The sequence below is a fragment of the Homo sapiens genome, chromosome 8 (assembly GCF_000001405.40).
Source record: "Homo sapiens chromosome 8, GRCh38.p14 Primary Assembly".
In the NCBI taxonomy this organism is placed as follows: Eukaryota; Metazoa; Chordata; class Mammalia; order Primates; family Hominidae; genus Homo; species Homo sapiens.
In genome coordinates this window covers 4,974,626-4,995,742 of record NC_000008.11, presented here as the reverse complement: position 1 = coordinate 4,995,742, position 21,117 = coordinate 4,974,626, and the positions used below count along the sequence as shown (strand labels likewise).

At 44.1% G+C, this 21,117-nt stretch overlaps 1 protein-coding gene across 3 annotated transcripts in view; it reads left to right on the top strand.

The window, feature by feature from the left end:
- The first annotated feature begins 828 nt into the window (after nucleotides 1-828).
- The window catches only part of CSMD1 (CUB and Sushi multiple domains 1), a 2,059,554-nt gene continuing 2,039,265 nt past the window's right edge, over nucleotides 829-21,117 (top strand). For all 3 annotated transcript variants that reach the window (XM_011534752.3, NM_033225.6, XM_017013731.2), the window contains exon 1: nucleotides 829-1,411. In XM_011534752.3, the coding sequence (XP_011533054.1) occupies nucleotides 1,327-1,411 (85 nt within the window). In that variant the 5' untranslated portion in view covers nucleotides 829-1,326. The remainder of the gene's footprint in view (nucleotides 1,412-21,117) is intronic.

The window sequence follows — 21,117 nt, the reverse complement described above, 5'->3', positions numbered from 1 at the left end:
ATTAACTGACCACCTTCTCCTAAAATGTCTCTCCTTACACGTTCCCCAGGAACTGCAGGAATGCCTCCTCTATTTGGGGAGCTGGGTGAAATCCAGTTTACTGTATCAAGTACTGCTATTCTAAAGCACTGTTCTCTCTCTGCGGGCTTCATCCTTTTGCAGAATCAGGGAGAACCTGTCTCTTCTCTTTTAAGGTCCCTTCCCAACCCACAGAATTTTATATATAGTTTCATCAGAAGCTGTGCCAACATGCCGGCTCTCACAACCAGACCATAATATTAATTCTAGAGACTTCCTCATGTCACGTTTTATCTGAAGCTGAAGTTTGGGCATGGCTAAATCTAACACAATCCAAAGTCAGGAAATGTGTAAATTTGTGTAACTCCTTGCAAATAGTCCATCTTGCAAAACATTATACATATCATCATATATATATATATATAAATGTATAAATATATTCCTCCCTTGGAGTTGAAGCTTGTGCCCTTTCCACCTGCATTTCTGATCTAAGTTAGGTAGGGGGCTGCTCTCTGGTCAGCAAGGAAGGGAGATCAAAGGATGGAGGCGGGACTCTGCCCCTGCAGAAACCCTCCAGTTTGCTGGAGTTGCCGGATTACATTGTTCCTCCCCGGTGTGCGGCGTGAGCTTCCCCCACCCGAGCGCCCAACAAGTCTCCTTTCTCCAGCCTGCGCGCTGCTGCGCTGAGGCCGAATGAAGCGCAGCACGGTGCGGGCAGCCCGAGGCCCCGAGGCTGGGCTCTGTCTGTCTGGGACTGCGCCGTGCCCAGCCTCGGTCCCCTCTCTGTGGGTAAGGATGGTTGAGTCCAGCCTCCACGGCAGCGGCTCCTTGTGCCACTAGCAGCCCTTCTTCTGCGCTCTCCGCCTTTTCTCTCTAGACTGGATCTCTCCTCCCCCCCGCGCCCCCCTCCCCGCATCTCCCACTCGCTGGCTCTCTCTCCAGCTGCCTCCTCTCCAGGTCTCTCCTGGCTGCGCGCGCTCCTCTCCCCGCTTCTCCCCCTCCCGCAGCCTCGCCGCCTTGGTGCCTTCCTGCCCGGCTCGGCCGGCGCTCGTCCCCGGCCCCGGCCCCGCCAGCCCGGGTCTCCGCGCTCGGAGCAGCTCAGCCCTGCAGTGGCTCGGGACCCGATGCTATGAGAGGGAAGCGAGCCGGGCGCCCAGACCTTCAGGAGGCGTCGGATGCGCGGCGGGTCTTGGGACCGGGCTCTCTCTCCGGCTCGCCTTGCCCTCGGGTGATTATTTGGCTCCGCTCATAGCCCTGCCTTCCTCGGAGGAGCCATCGGTGTCGCGTGCGTGTGGAGTATCTGCAGACATGACTGCGTGGAGGAGATTCCAGTCGCTGCTCCTGCTTCTCGGGCTGCTGGTGCTGTGCGCGAGGCTCCTCACTGCAGCGAAGGGTAAGACGGACTTGCTCCTGGCCGGGGAGGCGGTAGAGCCCTCGGAGGCCCCGTGTGCGGACGCGAGTGTGCGTTTTGGGGACCGCAGGGTACGGAGTGGCCGCCTCTGCCCGGCGCTGCTCCATCGCCGAAGCTCGGGGAACGCGATGCACGGGAGGGAGCTTCCATCGCGCTCTCCCCAGCCCTCCTGGGCCCCCGCCCCACCCCGCCATTCCTTCCCCCTCTCTTGGGCTCACAGGAGAGATCTCTTTTTCTCGGCAGTACAGGGTGTCAAGGAGAAAGGAACCCAATACGAGTTGGGCTGGAACTGTGCTCCGCCGGGGCGGTGTTGCCTCCTCCGAGACGTGGACTCCACGGGTCGGGGTGGCTGAGGGGCAGTTCCCAGGACTTTCTCCCCGGACCCGACGCGCCTGGGAAAGCGTCCCGGGTGAAGCCGGCCTGGAAAGTTCGGGCTCTCTACGGGGGTTTTGGTACCAATAGGCAAAGGTCTCCGCCGGCCCGGCCTCCTCGCACCCATACACCCCATTCCTCCTCTCCTCCTTCCCTCTCCAACGTCCTCAGCCGGCGAGGAGTAGCTGCCTCTAGAAGGTCGCCCCCGCTTTCCTCTCCCCCGGACTTCGCTCCTTGCAAGTTGTAAGGTGTTGGCAAGGTGCGTGAAACAGGCTAGGAGTTCTGGACCGGCTTCCAAGTCAGATACATTCACTGTGGGCGCACGGGTATCCTCCTTCTACGCTGGTCAGGGGAAGGAGTTTCTCTGGGTGGCTCCTGGGCTTGGGGCTCTGTGAGCTTGGTTTTCTCCCTGAATGAGTTGGGGAATGTTTTCTTCTAAGTAGCCTACAGGCTGCGACCTCAAGGCTGGCAATAGCTTGTGTACTTGTTTATTCTCCGGGAAAGAACATAAGCTCCCTTTTGAGACAGGGCGAGAAAGAGGGAGAGAGACAGAGAGAGAGAGAATACTGATTGGTTTTCACATTGGAAATACCTGCCCCTGTCCTCATTTTTAGCCTCCTTAGATGCTTTCTTTATCAGTCAGCACTTCCATAGATGTTCCCGGGAGTATCTGTATCTACAAAGGGTTTTTCTTTCGTTTCATTTTTAAAGGTTGGAGTCCAATCTTACGATTTTTTTTCAATGGTCACTTGCTTTTTTCCCTACATAATATTTCCCCGTCCTCTCTAGATTCTTCCATCTTCTTTTCCACCCATTTCCTTTTCCTCCAGTGGTCCAGATGGAAGAGTGATTGGCAGGGCGAAGGAGGACTGTATCTGGTTCATTAGGAAACTCCAGATCTGCCTGGAGAGCGGGGGAGAGACGTGCCGCCTGGGCTTCCCCTCCCTGCACTTGCCTCCACGGGGCGTCCAGGGCTCCGTGAAAGCTGACCGCTCAGCACCAGCTCCTCCTCACCGGCATCCACCCTCACAAGGGGGTGTCTGCGGGAATGCGCCCCGAGATCTCGGGGATCGCAAACAGTGGGTCTTAGTCACCCAAGCTCGTGGTCGCTCGGGACTGGGGAGCTTCTTGCAGACGCCGACCCTCTGCCCACCCGCCCGGCTCAGTCCGGATGCCTTGGCCGGTGCCTCTGACATTGCCGGCTGCGGAGGCAGCGCCTGCTGAGCAGGGCCCGACTGGCAGCGGCCTCTGGTCAGCACTGGACTGGCTGGGAATTGGAAGGCGAGGCAGCTAAAGTCTAGGGAAAAGAGGGTTGTGCCCTGTGAGGTGTGCTGGGGCGTGTGTGTCGCAGCGGGGTGAGGGCAGGAGCCCAAGGGACAGGACCTGGCTTTTTCCAGCCGAGCCCCTGCGTGGAGAGGAAACACCTGCCACGCAACTCCGCAAAACTTCCCGCCCTTTCCCCTGCACTCCAAGCCTAACTGGGCCCGGGGCTTCCTCCTTTCCAGGCAGGCAACTCAGCCTCTGAGCTCACTCTCGGTTCCCTCGAGTTCCGCACGCTCCGGCTGCCTTCCCCCGCAATTAGCAGAGGTTGCTGCGTGGAGACCGCGGCGGCCCTAGCTCGGCTGCTTAATAATCCGCACACGTGTGTGCCGGGCGGATTCCGCCCCCACGCGGGTGGGCTGCAGCGCTAGGATGAGGCTGAGGCGGAGGCGGGAGGGAGGGTGTGGAGGGCCAGGTAGTGGGCGGGGGCTGCTCTGGATGATTCTGGGGCGAACAGGGCAGGGGTTGCAAAGTCCTGGGCGCCTCGGGCCCTGCGGGGCAGCCCCGTGGAAGAGAGCTCCTCTTGCGCGCTGCAGGTCCCAGAACCTGGCTGTAGAAGCCGAGAAGTGGAGCCCAGGGTCCCAGGCCCCTGGCGTGCATGGAGCTGGAGAGGTGCTGTGCGCAAGTGTGTGCGCGCGGAGGGGGTCCAGGACGCTCGGACGTAGCTCTCACTGCGCTATTGTCTGGCCCACGAGGCAGTGGGTCCGTGGAGCTCCTTCATTAACCCCACAGGGACCAGGGACCGTGTCTCCTCCACGCCTGCGGGGTCAAGTGCGAGCTCCTGTACCGGCCTGGGAAGGGGCTGCAGGCAGGAAGGGGGCTGGTGACGCCAGCGCCGGAGTCGCCGTTTGTGCGCTCTGGCCATTGGGGCGGCGTCGCGTTCCCCTTGCCTAGCAAAGCCCGGGTGACCAAGGTCGGGCCTCCCCCCGGGGGCGTCGGCGCTGGGCCCCGGGGCTCGGCAGCGCGCTCCAGGGCCCACCGGAGGCGCTTGCAAGCAGCAGGGCTTTCCCGGGGAGGAGCGCTCCGGCAGGAGGGCGCCCGGCCACTGCCGTGGGCAGCTGCGCCGCGCGCGCCCGGGTGGCGGCTCCCGCTGTGGCGAAGGCAGGCGCAGAGTTTTTGATGCGTGGGGCATAATTCGTGACCTGTTTGCGGAGTCGTGAGGCTGGAGGCGGTCGCAGTTGAGGTCACTGGAACCCGTTACTGTGGGTACTTGAGTATCAGCTTCAGCTGATGGTGCTGTACTCTTCAATAAAGCGTTGGGGATATCGAAAATTCACTGGCGATTTCCTTTTTCTTCTGGATTATTAATGGCATTGTAAAGGTTGAATCCCAAGTGTGCCTTTCTCTTTAAATGCCTATTTTCAGGGACCAGGGGAAAAGGAGTAAGGCTGTAAGCATTTTCATCTGGTAAACAGGAATATTAATTCTGTGTATGCTGGCTCGTATCTGCCCCTTTACCCGGGGCTGATCTACTGGCTGTTTGGAAGAAGTTTCCTTCTCAGTTGTTTCTTGCATATGTGCAGCCATGAGAATGCAGGTATTTGCAGACAATTACTTACCCAGAAAGCGTCCTAAAGGAGAGCACACACAACACTACTACGCCAGAGCAGCCTCATTTTGAGAAGCCCGAAAGAGAAAGGTGGAACATTCGTTAAAGTAAGTAATTCAAACATTTCCTGACCCACCCAGCAGAGATGTGAGCACGCACTGCTGAGTTTCCAGAGAAACCCTGTAACTCCACCGCGAGAGAGGTGCGCCCTCCCATACCTGCATGGTTTTAGATGAGTTACCTTATTAAAGACTCATCCCACCAAGAAGTATGCTAAGACCTTTAATTTGCAGGTCAGACTCCTTTATGGCAGAGCCGCACCCAATACCCTTCCTCCTGATGAAGCCAGGACACTCCTGTGAAGAAGATACTTTCGCAGGAAACCCCTAATCCCCATCCAGCAATAAAAAAGTGGGCCGGATGCTGTGGCTCATGCCTGTAATCTCAGCACTTTGGGAGGCTGAGGTGGGTGGATCATCAAAGGTCAGGAGACCAGCTTGACCAACATAGTGAAACCCCATCTCTACAAAAAAAATACGAAATTAGCTGGGCGTGGTGGCGCATGCCTGTAATCCCAGCTATTCAGGAGGCTGAGGCAGGAGAATCTCTTGAACCCGGGAGGTGGAGGTTGCAGTAGGCTGAGATCGTGCCATTGCACTCCAGCCTGGGCAACAAAAGCTAAGCTCCATCTCAAAAAAAAAAATGTGAACCCCTTAAAATGAAGTTAATATCTCTGTATTGCTGAGCAGATCATGTTTTTTTCCTGTTGCATTATCAGGATATTATTACTAATTACTATGACTTCAAATCAGAACTGTTCAGCGGAAAGCTTTTCAGTGCTTCTGGAGCACTCATGTAGTTAGTCGCAAAAGGGAGTCTTTCTTCGGAAGTGACAGGTTTTGTAAACTTGAATGGTAGGGCAATGAGGTCTCATCAAACAAGTCCAGAGAAGCAAATGGCAAGTAGTGCAGGGTGGTAGAATTCCCCCATGTCTCAAGCATCTCACTGGCAGAGGCCTCGGGAAGAGAGAGAATGGCTATTTTTATATTGGCTTTCAGCTGGCCAATCATGCTTGGTAAGACGACTGCCACAACCACAGTGCTGAAGCTTCTACAGGCGAAAGCAGCTCCTCCCGGGGGCAATGCTTCCTTACTCTCCAGTTTATTGTGTCAAGCAAACACCAACCCAGCTTTAAAAATGTCAAGAAAATGGTTCTGCTTCCTTTAAGAAACAGATAAACAAAGCTCGGTGGCTGGTTCGTGCTTATAAGCAGACGATACAGCAAACCCAGTGAAGACGTTTCTAAGCTGTCAAAATGCAAATGGCATATTAAATACTCTCTATTGCGCTGAATTTTAAATCTGCCTCTGGTAATTTTTCTGCTGAGCTCATAGTGAAAATAAGCCATTACAAGTTGCATACATGCAATTTAAGCTACCTTTTCCCTTTGGCCTTTTGTATGTCTTCTGGTTGAGCTCACTTCGCTCTGTAAGATAACTAAGAAGTTGCATGCGTAGTTGCACATAGTAAAGGTCAAGTATGTCTTCTTTTTTAATTTAAGTTTTATTTGATCAACTAACAAATCAGAGGAAGATACTTGTGTAAAGGCGGAGATCTTCCACAGTCTACAGTATTTGTGTCTTTGGGTTGTATGGAAATATTACCAGCCTGTTGTCTCCTAGGATAGGAAAGTAGGAACTTGGACTAAGAGACCAGCAGTGGTAAACAAGTCCAACCAATCTGACGCTGTGGCACAGCCACCACAGCAACCAGGGGCAGATTTTTTTTTTTCTTTTTTTACTGTAGACCTGGCATGGATATGCAACCTGAGCCAAAGAAATAGAAATAGATGTTTCGGCTCTACTGAAATGAATTAATCCTCAAGGAACTCAACCTTTTTACCTTGCCTTCAATTACATGATCATTGTGCTTAGCAAACTAGTTGTCCATTCCAGAACAACTGATTGGTATAAAAATCAAATAATTGCACTTAGGTATTCATGCCTAAATGCAAGGAAGTAAGTCAGTCTTTTCCATAAGGACTTTAAAATGACCTTAAGTGACCTTTGATTAACCAGTATGTCTATTTTGGATGGACTTTAGTCCTTGATACTGAGGTTGGTAAGTAACGGAATTAAAATTCCCTTTACAGGAAAAAGAATAGAAGGACATTGTATAATTGAGCCAGCTGAAATTGACTGATTATAGGGAGCTTTATGGAAATAATGCACACCTTGTTTTTTCCCTCCAGCAGATCAACCTCTTTGGATGCAGAGTGTGAAACAGTTCTCTTTTCTGAGCTCAGTTGCAATTTTCTTTAAACCATTTGTATCAACCTGTACTTTATGGGAGAGGAAAATGCCATCAGTGCTTTAGGGAAGTTGCAGAATGTTTATTTATCTTCAAATATCTTTGTTCTATGAAGATGAGAGATTTTGTCATCCATTAGGCACCCTGTCTCATCCACCAACTCTAAATGTGTTGTAAACATTCCACCAAGGAATAACATTTCAACAAATTAACTTCAGTTAGAGTCAGTGTCACTTTGACCTACGGTGGCAACATTTATCCCCATCTAAAATTTCTTTGGGGAATGAAAAGAAAAAAGATCATGCAGGCATATTTTTTTGTTAAAAATAACTTACGTATTTTATTTTACTGATACATTTTGCAATTTACTGGTTGAAATCCTGAACTAGTTTTAGCTTGGTAAAAGTTATAAAAGGGAAAGGAATATTTCAGTGTTGTCATTCCACCCAAATATCCTTGGATACTTTGATACTTGCATCTTAATGCTCATAATTTGATACTTGATGCTTATAATTTTAATGTAAGTTTGCCTCATCCTTTGTAAAGCGGAGAGTAATGCATATAATGCTATGTTTTAAAAGCTATCATTATAATAGACATGAGATCAAGAACATAAACATGAAGGAGTCAAATTGTTGGTGTCTCTTCCCAGTTTTTTTCACTGTATTAGTCAGGATTCTCTAGAGGGACAGAACAAATAGGATAAATGTATATATAAAGGGGAGTTTATTAAGTAGTACTGACTCACAGGAGCACAAAGTGAATTCCCACAATAGGCTGTCAGCAAGCTGTGGAGCAAGGAAGTCAACAGTGCAGTCTTCAGCCTGTGGCCTAAAGTCCAAGACACCCCGGAAAACCACTGGTGTAAGTCCAAGAGTCCAATAGGTGAACACCTTAGAGTCCGATTTTCGAGGACAAGAAGCATCCAGCACAGGAGAAAGATGAAGACCTGAAGACTCAGCATGTGGGCTTTCTTTTAGCCAAGATGACAGTTGATGAGCTGGTGCCCACCCACATTGAGGGAGGGTCTGCCCCTCCCAGTCCGTTGACTCAAATGTTAATCTTTTTTGGCAACATCCTCATAGACACACCCAGGAACCGTAATTTTCATCCTCCAATCCAATCATGTTGACACTCAATATTTTATATTATATAAAATATCAGTCAGATTCCAGTGCTTTTTATTTTTTACTTTTTGGCGTGATATATTTTGGGGAGCTTCAACCTCAATGAAATTCAAGAAAAACTAATATGATGTGGATATGATAGAGATAACTACAACTTTTTGTCTGAATTATTCAGATAATTATAAACCATGAACCCCGATGGAATTAAAGCAACTTTGCAAGGCACTGAGCGTTTTCCTAAAGTGTTGCAGCAACCCTCTGCTTTCTGTACTGAACACGCCTGTCACCGTTATCATTATAGCTGTCAAAGTCAGGGTGGGCATGACACACAGTTTTTGAACACTCTATGTAAACTTTGTGTGCCTAAGAATTACTTGTTTCAATTTTGATTCAATGCAAATTCCATGGCTTCTTTTCCAAATGATTCTGAATAAGTGGATTTTGGATGGAGGTAGAAATCTATTTATTTTCTACCCACGCCCATCCCAGGTAATTCTGATACAGAGAATACACGTAATCTCACTTAGGGAATGCCACATTGGGTGCTAGGTAGTAAAATATGGCTTCTAACTTTGAGATAGTAAAAATGCAATGGATATATCTGTATATGTGTAATACCTGATGTATACTATATGCATTTATCTGTATATAAACATTATCTATGTATTATATATTTTAAATATAGATAGGTAGAGTCTATCAATCTGTCATCTCTCTACCTTCCTTTCAATAAAAGTGATCAAAATCTAATAACGTTTTCACTAATCTTTCACAGACCATTTAGCTCACACTGATTTCATGAAGAATATACTATACTATGAAATTGTGCAATTAATTCAGAAGATTTCTTCTTTATCATCAGTGCCTCTATTATCGGTATCCATCATTCAATGCTGTCTAATCTTCTTTTTTTTAATAGTTTTACAACAAAACAGAGATTCAAGCTCCTTGTCCATAATGTTTATATTATGGGGAGACTTCAGGGGATAATTATGCTCTTTCATATAAAAATACTGTTCGAGTGAATTATTTTTTTTCTTTTACTGTTTAGTATACTCTGATATCATTCGTGTTATATAAGAAAGGGCTAAATGTTAGATTAAAATTTGAATTATTTGGAGAGTGATCTCTGATGAATGAAAAACCTTTGAAATTAATTATAAATTGCAGGCAGTCATTTTCAAGATGACTGAAGAATGTCTATGCCTCTATTTAGAGAAACTTTTTCCTCCTCTTCTTTTTTAACAGAAAGTGTCTTCATTGATCTCTAACAAATGAGTAATTTTCTTCTACCTGAAGTTGATATTCCTGTAAAGGATGTCGGGGACTCTCATCATTCCCTTTTCTATAAAATTACACCTCCTTGATAGTTAGTGACATAACTGTGGTTCCTAAAATCTTTCCTGGCGGCGCTCTGAGTAAATTTTCACTTCCTGTGAAAATGGTGGATTCCACTGAAGTTAGAGTCTATCTTCACTTTTATCTCAAAGGATGGGCCTTATGAATGTTCAAAGTCCATCAACAATTTTAGTCACCACATTTCAAACTATCCCTTTTATTTGGTAGGAAAGTAGTGTACTTTGATGTATAATACAGCTGGGATAGTCGAGCATTGCAGAGTATGATCGGCACTTCACAAAAAGAAGAGAGACCTTGGCAAACTAAGAAGAGTCACATTTTTACAAGAAACTAACAATTCATCAGACAATTTCTGCGCACTCCAAATGTCTTGCAATTCTTGTTGTGTCTCTTTTCCCCTTTCTTCATAAAATAGAATTCCTGTGGACAACATAAGACCAATCCATCTGTGAGGGTATTTTGTTTTTGTCTTATGGTTTCAGCTATATTCATGAGGTTGCAGTTCACTTGTTCAACATCCATGCTCCATTTTACATGGAAACAATACAGATTTTGAATGTAATGCCCCATACTTAAAAAATATAAATAATATCAAGGGAAATTCAGGTGAGAATAGTCATCTTGTTACTGTTAGGTGGAATTAGTTTTATTGATTAATGTGATCTGGGTAGAACTACTGTGATTTAGGGAAGATATACACATTTTTAGTCTGATATGATCCTTAACAATGATGACTGGGGATAGGAAGAGAATTGGGAAGACTTGACTCTTGAAAAGGATTATACTCATAATTTTGCTCACCTAAAGAATTATGGCATGTGCCAAACAGAATCACTCAGTTCAGTATAACTGTAACGCATGGGCCCTTCCTATTCACCTACACCACATTTTTTTTTAAAAAAAACTTTTAAGTTCCAGGGCAGATGTGCAGGATATGAAGTTTTGTTACATAGGTAAATGTGTGTCATGGGGGGTTGTTGTACCGATTATATCATTACCAAGGTAGTAAGCCTAGTATCCATTAGTTACTTTTCCTAATCCTCTCCCTCCTCCCACCCACCACCCTCTGACAGGCCCCGGTGTGTGTTGTTCCCTTCTATGTGTCCATGTGTTCTCATCATTTTGCTCCCACTTATAAGTGAGAACAGTGGTATTTGATTTTCTGTTCCTAGATTAGTTTGATAAGGATAATGGCCTCCAGCTCCACCCACGTCCCTGCAAAGGACATGATCTTGTTCTTTTTTATGGCTGCATGGTATTCCATGGCTACATCACATTTTTAACAAAGAGGATGAATCTCTGAGTGCTTTCTAGGAGTTTCCATTTTGACTTTGCCAGTGGTCTTCCGGATGCATATGTGCCACTGCTCTGCATGCTAGCACATATATCACATGGCTCACTAGCATCTTAGATCTCCACCCAGGGGTGTGTTTTTTACTATTCCAGTTAGAACAGGTCAGCCCAAGGACACTAAGTATGGGTTTCTGTTCTGGCAAGAATCTGGGGGTTTTTCCTTCTGCTGTTCATCCTCCTTGCTGCAGGATCTTCTACCCACATAGAAGTGGTTGTGCTTTGTGCCCAGTCAAGTGGTTTGTTCTCTCCATCTATCTGGCAAGTTCATTCCCCTTTACAAAAGGCTATGACTACCCTAATCTATGTCAAATAATGGAGGAGGAAGGGAACAGGAACAACATCATGAACTGAAGATGAGGATGTTGAGGAGAAGCAGCCGGAGAACAGACAAGAAAACTTTGTGTTTTTCATTAGCTCAGTGAGGGCCAGTTGAAACGTCAAGCAGGTAAATGGTCCTATAAACACTGATGCTCAGGGCCACCCTTCTCAGACATTGATTCATTGCTCTTTAAAGCTGAAGGTCGGATCGGAAGCGTACACTACTGTCATGGGACTAGTCCCTGAAATATGCAGATTTATATGCAACTTATGTTAGGCCTTGCTCCTTTCTACTCTCATGCAGCCAAGGGGTCATATGTTTGTTTGAACATCATCTACTTATTGGAAGCTAGAACATTAGACATTTTTAAACATTTTCCCTTCAAGTCCTGTGATGGTTACTCTTGCTGTTCTGGAGTTTTTCTAATGACCTCCAGGATGTAATACCAACAGGACACTGAGTGTGGAAAGAAAAGCAGTTTTTGATTTACTGGCCATGTATCTTGTTTTCTTAAGTACTGTACATGCTTTTCTCTGTAGGGTACAGCATCTCTCTCCCAAACTGACTTTCAAAGTCCTCCATAATCAGTCTTTTCAAATCTGCCCTTGTGACTTCCAATTCAGCCAGGCCAGGTACACCCTAACTATACCTTCAGTTTTCTCGCCATTGAGGAGTTTTCTATTCCACCTCATCGACCATAACTTTGAGCTTTGTTTCCATGTATCTCAAGCCCACCCATCTTTGAGTCCACTTCTAGTTCTATCATATGTTGATCACCCAATCTCTCCTTGATCTAATTTTTTTGTCAGTTACTATGTTTAAAAATTATTAGTCATGATGTAGGAAACTGTAGGTTTAGGGTCCTTTAAAAAATGTTGTTCTTCCCCGTCTCTACCAAAAATACGAAAAAAAAAATTAGCTGGGTGTGGTGGCTGGCACCCGTAATCCAAGCTACATGGGAGGTTGAGGCAGGAGAATCGCTTGAACCCTAGAGACAGAGGTTGCAGTCAGTCGAGATTGCACCACTGCCTTCCAGCCTGGGCGACAGGAGTGAAATTCCATTTCAAAAAACAAAAAGTGTTATTCTTGCTTGCTGATTTTTCATTCATTTGTTTACATTGTTTGGACTTCATAAATCTTAAAGTCCTGGAGAACTGAAGGGCACTCTTGCAAGTATCCAAGCATCATTCTGGTTTCTTACACATTCACTGTTTCTTTAATAAATAAATAAATGTTCTCAGTCTATGTAATATACTTGATTCCAGCCATTATTTTTAGTGAGTTCAAATTAATTTGTCATCAACATTTTGTGAAAACACTCGTTGAAGAGTTGACCTAGGGAAGGTGTTGGTAAAGATTTCTTCCAGTCACTGTGCCTGCTTATTGACTCATGTACTGAGACTAGAACTTGTCAACATAATTAGCTTTGAAACCCTATATTCAAGATATTATTTTGCCATGCTTATTTGATTCAATTGTGTTTCTGTTTCTTGACTGTTTTTCTTTGTATACTGAGTAAGTTATCTGAGATGTTTGCATTTTTTTCTTCTGGTGACAATAATTTAATATTAGAGCTTGTTCAGCAGATATGCCAGCCTTCAATTGTCATTTTGATCTTCATGACTATTTTATCTCTCCGCTTTTTAATTTTAAAGAATTACATTAGAGGATTATGGAACAAAGAAGAGCTAATCAGTCTCTTTCTTTTACAACTGCAGTTACAAAATTACCTTTCCTGCATTCTTTGCTGGCAACAAGAGACACGGAAGGGGCATGTCGTCAGGGTGTTGAAAAGCTGAGGCGTCTACGGAACTGAAAGTATAAAAAGTATAGCCAAGCCGAACTTTGGGGTATGATCTATATCTCCTAGCAAATGTGTTTTTCTTTCAGTTTTTATGATGGATGGACAATGATAGGTCTTTTAAAAAGAGTCCATATAAAAATACTGTAAAGTGTTATATGACAAGTTGAAGTGACTATCATTTCTTCTTACCTTTTATATTTTAAGAATAGAACCTATGAGAAAGAAAGAAGTACCTAAGTTAAAGATGTGGTGTCATTTACTGTAGCTTCAAAATCAGAAGAAGAGATTTGAGCCACTTTTTAATGCCTTTAATGACAATACCCGTTCTTTGTCTCCAAATGAGGGAGAGAGACAGAAAGCCAACAGTATTTGTAGCAAGATAATTTTATAGCATTCTCTGTTACCCAGGTTTATCCTCTCCGCAGGACCAGATGCCACCAGGAACAACTCAAGAGCTAGAAAACAGAGCTACATAGAAGGACAGATTGGGGGAGCAATCTCCCATTTGAATACTTTTTGCATTAGCTAACTACTGTGTTGTAACATTATTATTGCAAACGCAACAGCTTCAAACAGCACACATGCATTACCTGATAGTTTCCGTGGGTCAGGGGTCTGTGCATGGCTTGGCAGCTTAGCTGGGTCTCTGCTTAAGGTCTCACAAAGCAGCCATCAAGTGTTGGCTGGGACTTCATTGCCACCTGAGGCTCAGCTGGGGTAGAATCCACTTCTAAGATAGTTGGGCAGCTGGCAGAATTCAGTTCCTTGCAGTTGTAGGAATGAGGCATTAAGTTTTTTGCTGGCTTTTGGCCAGAGTTTACCATCAGTTCCTGGGGGCCACACACGGTTGTCACCTGGGACTTCCTAGCATGGCTCAAACCAGGTTAGGAGTGGGGTTGGGGGAGAGAGAGAGGGTGAGAGGGAGACTCCACAGTTGAGTGCTACAATTCCATATGTAATCACATAATCCTGTACACATAATCACATGTAGCCTATCACTGTCAGTTTGCTGTGTTGGTTGAAAGGAAGCCACGGGTCCTGCCCACTCTCAAGGAGAAAAGGATCCCTAGGGCACGGACATCAGCAGGTGGGGGTGCCGCATGGCCCCCTAAGAGTCTGTTCACCACACACTCTTCTAGAAAAGTAATATAAAAAGATCATCTCACAGTCAGCAAAGAGCTTAGCAACCATTAAGTACAAATAGGTATTTTATAGGAAGAACAAACATAAATAATAAATGTAGGAAAAGATTCCCAAGTGTATAATTGATTGAAAGCAGTGCATTAAACATTGTCATTTTCCCCAGTGCATTTGTGAAACTCTAATTGATGATATCAGGTTTTGGTTGTGCACAGAGAGGACACTCCCTTATACTCTTGTTGGATATCTAGAAAAATGAGGGGAGGGGATAATTCGGTCCTATCAGTCAAATTCTAAATTATCAGATGTTTCAATCTAGAGAGTTAATACATCCTGCTCCAGTAGGGGCTTCTTCACTGTAGCCCCCTCTCTCATACTGAAAAGTTGGACAGAGCTTAAATGTTTACCATCCTAAAATGGCCAAATAGATTGTTGTATGACACACTGTACTGCCTTCATGAATGTGTTTCCATGGTAAAGCGTTTTCAGTTGAACGTTTCAAATAATATCTATATTTTGATCCCATTTTCAGGTACAGAAAAGGCAGGCTACTTGTACACACATGGGAAATATCTGCAAAGATGCACGCATCATGGTGTTCACGCTTGAATCTTGTTTGGTTTCTTCTAACTATGTCAACCTTCTCTAAGTGAAATAATAATTGTTAAATTTAAAAAAATTGAAGAAAAGGACAAGTTGCTCATACTAGTCCATGTTGCTGGGCAAAGTACAGATAGATAATAAGTTTTTTTTTTTTTCGAGACAGTCTCACTTTGTCACCCAGGCTGGAGTGCAGTGGTGCGATCTTCGCTCACTGCAGCCTCAACTTCCTGGGATCAAGTGATCCTCCCGTGTCAGCCCCCAAGTAGCTGGGACTACAGACCCATGCCACCACACTCAGCTCACTTGGTGTAGCTTTTTGCAGAGACAGGGTCTTGTCCTGTTGTCCACGCTGGTCTTGGACTCCTGATCTCAAGTGATCCACCAACTTTGGCCTCCCAAAGTGCTAGGATTACAGGCGTGAGCCACCATGCCTGGCTAGATAAGATTTTTGAATTCAAAGTGACCTTCCAGTTCACAAATTCAAGTCTCTCATTTATTTTTGTCCAGAGGATTTCAATATCTCACCCAAAAGGCAGAGCTCAGTCTAAGGAATTCTCCTTTCATTTTACAGTGTTTCTCCCAGGAGGCCCACAGGCCTCTTGAAAGCCTCCTCGCCTGACAAACTCCTTCCTTCCCACACACACAAGACCAGACCTGCCTCTCCATCTCACTCCGCCTCTATTGCTCCTTGCTGGGGCTCTAAGTGCAACTGAGGCACTGATTCTCTCCTAATGTAATAGGCACACAGCCCTTGTGGCTACACTCTGGGAAGAGCAGCATGCTAGGAAAGTTCTGGGCTTAAACTTAAGATTACCCAGGCAGCTGGATAAGCACAGTATCCAACCTCGAAGCTCAGGAGATGGCTGAGAGCTGTCACTGGTGACACAGAACTCTCTGTGTGTGCGTGTTACAGGGTTTTATTGCTTTGTATAGGAAGTAACGATAATTTATTTGAGGTAAAAAATGCATGGTTGTGATAACATTGTGTTAACTATTTAATTTATTTATTTATTTATTTTTTGGGATGGAGTCTCACTCTGTCGCCCAGGCTGGAGTGCAGTGCACTATCTTGGCTCACTGCAAGCTGCGCCTCCCAGGTTCACACCATTCTCCTGCCTCAGCCTCCCCAGTAGCTGGGAGTACTGGCGCCCACCTTCACGCCTGGCTAATTTTTTTGTATTTTTAGTAGAGATGGGGTTTCAATGTGTTAGCCAGGATGATCTAGATCTGCTGACCTAGTGATCCACCCGCTTCAGCCTCCCAAAGTGCTGGGATTACAGGCGTGAGCCACCACGCGTGGCCAACTAGTTAATATGTTTTATATCAATATGATTTGATCTGTATATTTGTCACTACAGAATATTTAATTCTGAAGAACTAAACACATTTTCACCACACCAACATATTTTGTGAGGACTGCTCCAATTAGAACAATTAGACAATTGCATTTTTAGATTTCTTAATGATTTAAATACATTGAAGGAAAAAATGATTTCAAAAAAGTGAAAACTAGCTCCTTCTTTAGGTAGACAGTGAGTATCTTATGATAGAAATAATTTCCCTTAGCTTTCACACACTCAAGTGTTCTAAAGGTACCTTTGACGGCATCTGCTATACGGCTAAGTAAGCTCGAGTTCCGTCTCTCCTCCTCATAGTGTGGCCGTGGAAAATGTTAAACTTCTTGACACTTGGTTTCTTTGTCTTTACAAAGGGAATGTCAACTGTGCTCAATATCATAAGGATTACAAGAAGAAACACATGTAAAAAGCATAGAACCACGCATGGCTCTTACTAAGCTTAAATAAATGTGAGCAGCTATTTTATTACTGCAACTAAAAAAAAATTAGACTCTCAGTTCTATGAGATGTGTCCTCCTAGTTCATCATTTGAACTTGTACATGAAATTTAGCTTGAATACAATTAGAGACTCAGTAGAGTCAGGTAGAAAAGACGTGTTTTAACATCATTTAACACCAGGAAGGCCTGGAAATTTGAAGTGACTATGAAAAGAACGATGAGAGGAAATAATAGGAAATTTTGCTCTTCAAAGTAGATTTTTAAGGTTTGCTACTACTTTCTCCAGAGTTATTTTTTCTAAAGATCCTAATGTCTTTGTGCTGACTGTTCCCAATAGCTCTGTCGCCCAGGCTGGAGTGCAGTGGCACAATCTCAGCTCACTGCAACCTCCGCCTCCTGGGTTCAAGCGATTCTCCTGCCTCAACCTCCCGAGTAGCTGGGATTACAGGCACCTGCCACCATGCCCAGCTAATTTTTGTATTTTTAGTGGAGACGGGGTTTCACTGTGTTGGCCAGGCTGGTCTCGAACTACTGACCTCAAGTAATCCATTCCCCTTGGCCTCCCAAAGTGCTGGGATTACAGGAATGAGCCACCGTGTCTGGCCCATATATTTTTCTAACTGCTTACTTTTGTTCAAAAAAGCACCAGAGGCTACTTTTGAGTGTTTTAAATGGTGTGAATTCCCAGTGAAGCCATTTGAAAAACATAGTTAATTTATTTACTTGGCAATATAGTAAATCTGTTAGCTTTTTCAAGGTGAGGAGCGGTTAGTGAAATCAAAGATGCTGGGTTTATTAACATCTTTAACATAAGTAGGGCCCAATTCTTTGACTTAAACATACCCTCCACCCAAACTAAACATAGAGGGCTTAATAATGTTAAGGCAGTCAGTGTGATCTGGCTTTTTCCTTCTGGCTTTAGATTCCAAGATTAGAGTGTCCTGACTCAAATTAGAGGGACCCTTGAGTTGAAAAAGCTGCTATACCTCCACCTGCCTGTCCCCCCTTTGAACACCTGCAATTATATCTTAAAAGGTTGGGTCTCTATCTGTGAGATCCCAAGTTATAATATAAAAATAAATCCCAAATTATGACATGAAAATTAGATGTTTCTTCCAGGGCCACGTGACTGAGACCTTTGGAATAGGCTACCCAGAACTCACGTGGCCATGATCGAGATACACACTTCTCAAAGTCAGGTATGCTGAGTCTGGCTGTAAAAGTGAATGTGTATCTCTCTCACATCGATTGTGGCCAAGCACACATCAACAGGGAAACCTCGTAAATACAGCACCTGTGCAGGACCCTCAGCAACAAATAGCTTGTGAGGTCTTGGGTATTGGACACCTTCGAATGTGTGAATGAATGAGTTGATTAAGTATTGATGATGGGTCTTCTTCCACTGTGCTTAGTCAATTCCTATCAGGCCAGCCCTATACTTATTCAGTAAAAGCGCTGCAGTATGCCAAATGTCTTTCACTTTCAATGCATTCATCTCTAGCAGGTGAACCTGCCTGCAACCTAATTTGTAGCTTAGTGACTTAGTTTTCAAATGGGACCTCCTTAGGAGGCGCTCACTTAACAATTATGTCAACTAGTGAGGCATCTGGGTCTGCACGTGGGGTAAGGCAGCAGCTGTGGGTGGGTGCGTGTTCAGGAGAGTGATTTCAGTGAGATCCACCCAAAGGCGGGCTGGAGCCAGCCACTGTGCGCTGTGTTCCCTCTCAAAGGGAGCTCTGTGAATTTACGTTTTCATGCCAATGTGAAGAAAGCCCAGAAGAGATGAGACCTTCTTTCCCAATGTGCATGAGTCCGTGGACATGCACCCACCCCTCACACACAACAGTCTCCTCCAGCCTGAAATCCTTTCAACTTGTGCCATGAGGAGAGCTGCTCAGTGGGCCTGGGGTAAGTGCTGCTGCGTTTTCAATCAAGGTTAGAAGGGCGTATAACCCTTCTTGCCTTATTTCAGGAAGAATGTTAAGTTCAGTCTTACCTTTGCAGAAAGAGTTTTGCTCTCACTTGGCTTTTATTGAAGGGAATATGTATTCAATTAAATATAAATTAATATAAACAGAAAATAGTTAACAAGGAAAAGTTCAAAACAAATGATCATTACTATAGGAACATTTTAAGGCCAGCTGTTGATATAAATGTGCTCCATCTTGAGAGAAACGCCAATATAACTGTTGATACTAAAAGCTGTATAAAAATGAGCATTTTGCCAACACATAATATGGTCAGTTCGAGTACACATGGGAGACATCTGACAAATTGCTCTATTAGGAGAGAAAGACAACAGCATCTGCCCTCATTCCACTGCTTCAGAACACACTTGATGCTCTGGAGGATTTTTTTTTATGTTTATAGCTGACCAGCAATGTCCCTCTATATTTCTTTAAGCACAGTTGCCCCAAAGTGGCACTTACTTAAATGAATATTTAATAAAAATATCAGTGAGAGGAAGTGATGTGTCATATACCTACCATATCACATTTGCCATGAAAGTGAAGCTCATTTCCAGCAAGGACATGCTGGACATGGCATGGGGTATATTAAAACAAATAAAAATGCTGGAGTAAAATACCTTCTCATCCTATTTAGGGTGGACGAGGGTCATAGCAAATGAGTTTAGCACACAATGTGCTTGTCTTTAAGCTGTTTATAAATTGTTGCATTATTTTGGACATACTAACAACAAATCAGTCCCAATAATTTTGTAAGTATTGAATGCTAGGCATGCCACAGAGGTAAGGATAAAAAACAACGTAATATTATAGGAGCATTGTGAAGTCAGTTTTTGTATTTTTTGTCAAAATTGTATTTAAGAACAAACTTTCTTTATATTTCATTAAAATGCCTTCATTAATTTAATGTAGTATGTAAATAGATAAGATAATTATGTTAAGATGTATTGAAAGAAACTGAGAGAAGGAACAGCTGCAACTTCTGAGGTAGCTACTCCATACATTTGTAAATAAATTATTACTTGTTACGCAGGTGTATTGCTTAACTCAGAGGTTTGGGGTATGGATACTCTTGTCACCCAGGCAGTGAGTTAGGGTCCAATAGATGGTTTTTCAGCCCTTGTCTCTCTGCTCCCTCTAGGATTCTCCAGTGTCTGTTCTTCCCTTATGTCCATATTTATCCAATGTTTATCCCAGTAATAGGTGAGAACATGTGTCAACCAATTATTGACACTTATGCTTAAGAAATTATTACCTGCAAGTAAACAAAAGCTCCAGTCCAAACCAGAAAGGGTTGAGTGTCTGTTGTACACCTATTTCTTTTTCAAGCAGATTTTCTCATAGTAAATAAAATTATGTTTTATCACATATGGCCAATGTGAGCAACATAGGAAATACTATTTAATCCTCTAATTGGTTTATCTTAGAGTGCTGAGTTTCATAAGTAGTATCTGCTGGGTTTTTTTCTATTATTGCAAAAAAAATGCATACACTATTCATGACTCCTCCACAACTGGTCATAGTGGTTATTATGGAAACAGTTGGCCGTGTCTTCATTGTCTCAGCACATCAGATGAAACCCTGAAGAGCTCACAATGGTAATAGCCCTTTGCCTACTTCTTGAATTACCGTTACCTCACTTCAGAGTAACACCTGTTTTGTTCGGATGCAATACTTGTACCTGGAGCCTACAGGATGGGGTTTCTAGTCCAAACTCCACTGTATTCCAGTTTTGGGACCTTCCTGGGCTTCACTTCCTTCATCTGAAAAATAAGTGATTTGGCCTTTTGCTTTCAGCCCTGACATAACTTGACTTCTGTTTTTAGTGGCTATCAGATTGATGAATACATACTTAGAAGGTTAAAGCAAAGTAGCCCACATTCAATAAGGCCGCTTACAGCCAGGAAGTAAAAGGAATACTTGCTATGTGTGCAATTATTCTTTTTCTTTTCTTATTGCCAATGCTTTTAACTCAATAATCTACAGTCTCTCTTCAAATGATATACAGCAGATATTCTCTTTAATAAGCGTAAGTTGAAATTAATTATCCTTGGAGACTTTTTTTCTGATATTTTCATAACTTTGGAAAGAAAAGTCACCGTGGTGAATTAAAAACAGTAGGACCTTGGTTCCCTCTTAATTTGCTGGAACCACTAGGTCACATTGATTATCTTTTTTATGGGGACCTAGCCCTTCTTGGTAGATAAATGTTTATTGCAGATTTTGGGGAGAAGCCTCTTTCCCCAGCCTGCTGTATGTGAATGCCTTCTAGTAGAGCTCTAGAAAAAAACATCCATTTTCTCACAGACTAACATATATAAAATTTCGACTTGAATCTATTGTCGAATAATTCTTTGTCTCTCTCTTTAAACCCCAGTATATCAACATAAACCATCATAGTTTTTTTGTGTGAAAGTTGATACAGTTGCAACATAGTTATAATGCTTAATAACATACATCATCATTGGGAGACAGCTCAATACTGTATTTTATCATCCCATATTTTCCTGACAAAGATTTGAGGCTCAAAAAATCACCTTCTAGTCAGATATTGTGGATTGCAGAGCAAAGACCAAAGGTGTTATCCTTCGACATCTGTCTTACTCTTAGGTCTCTGAGTCTAACCATTATTTGTACATGCCTTCCAACTGCATATTCCTGCTATTAT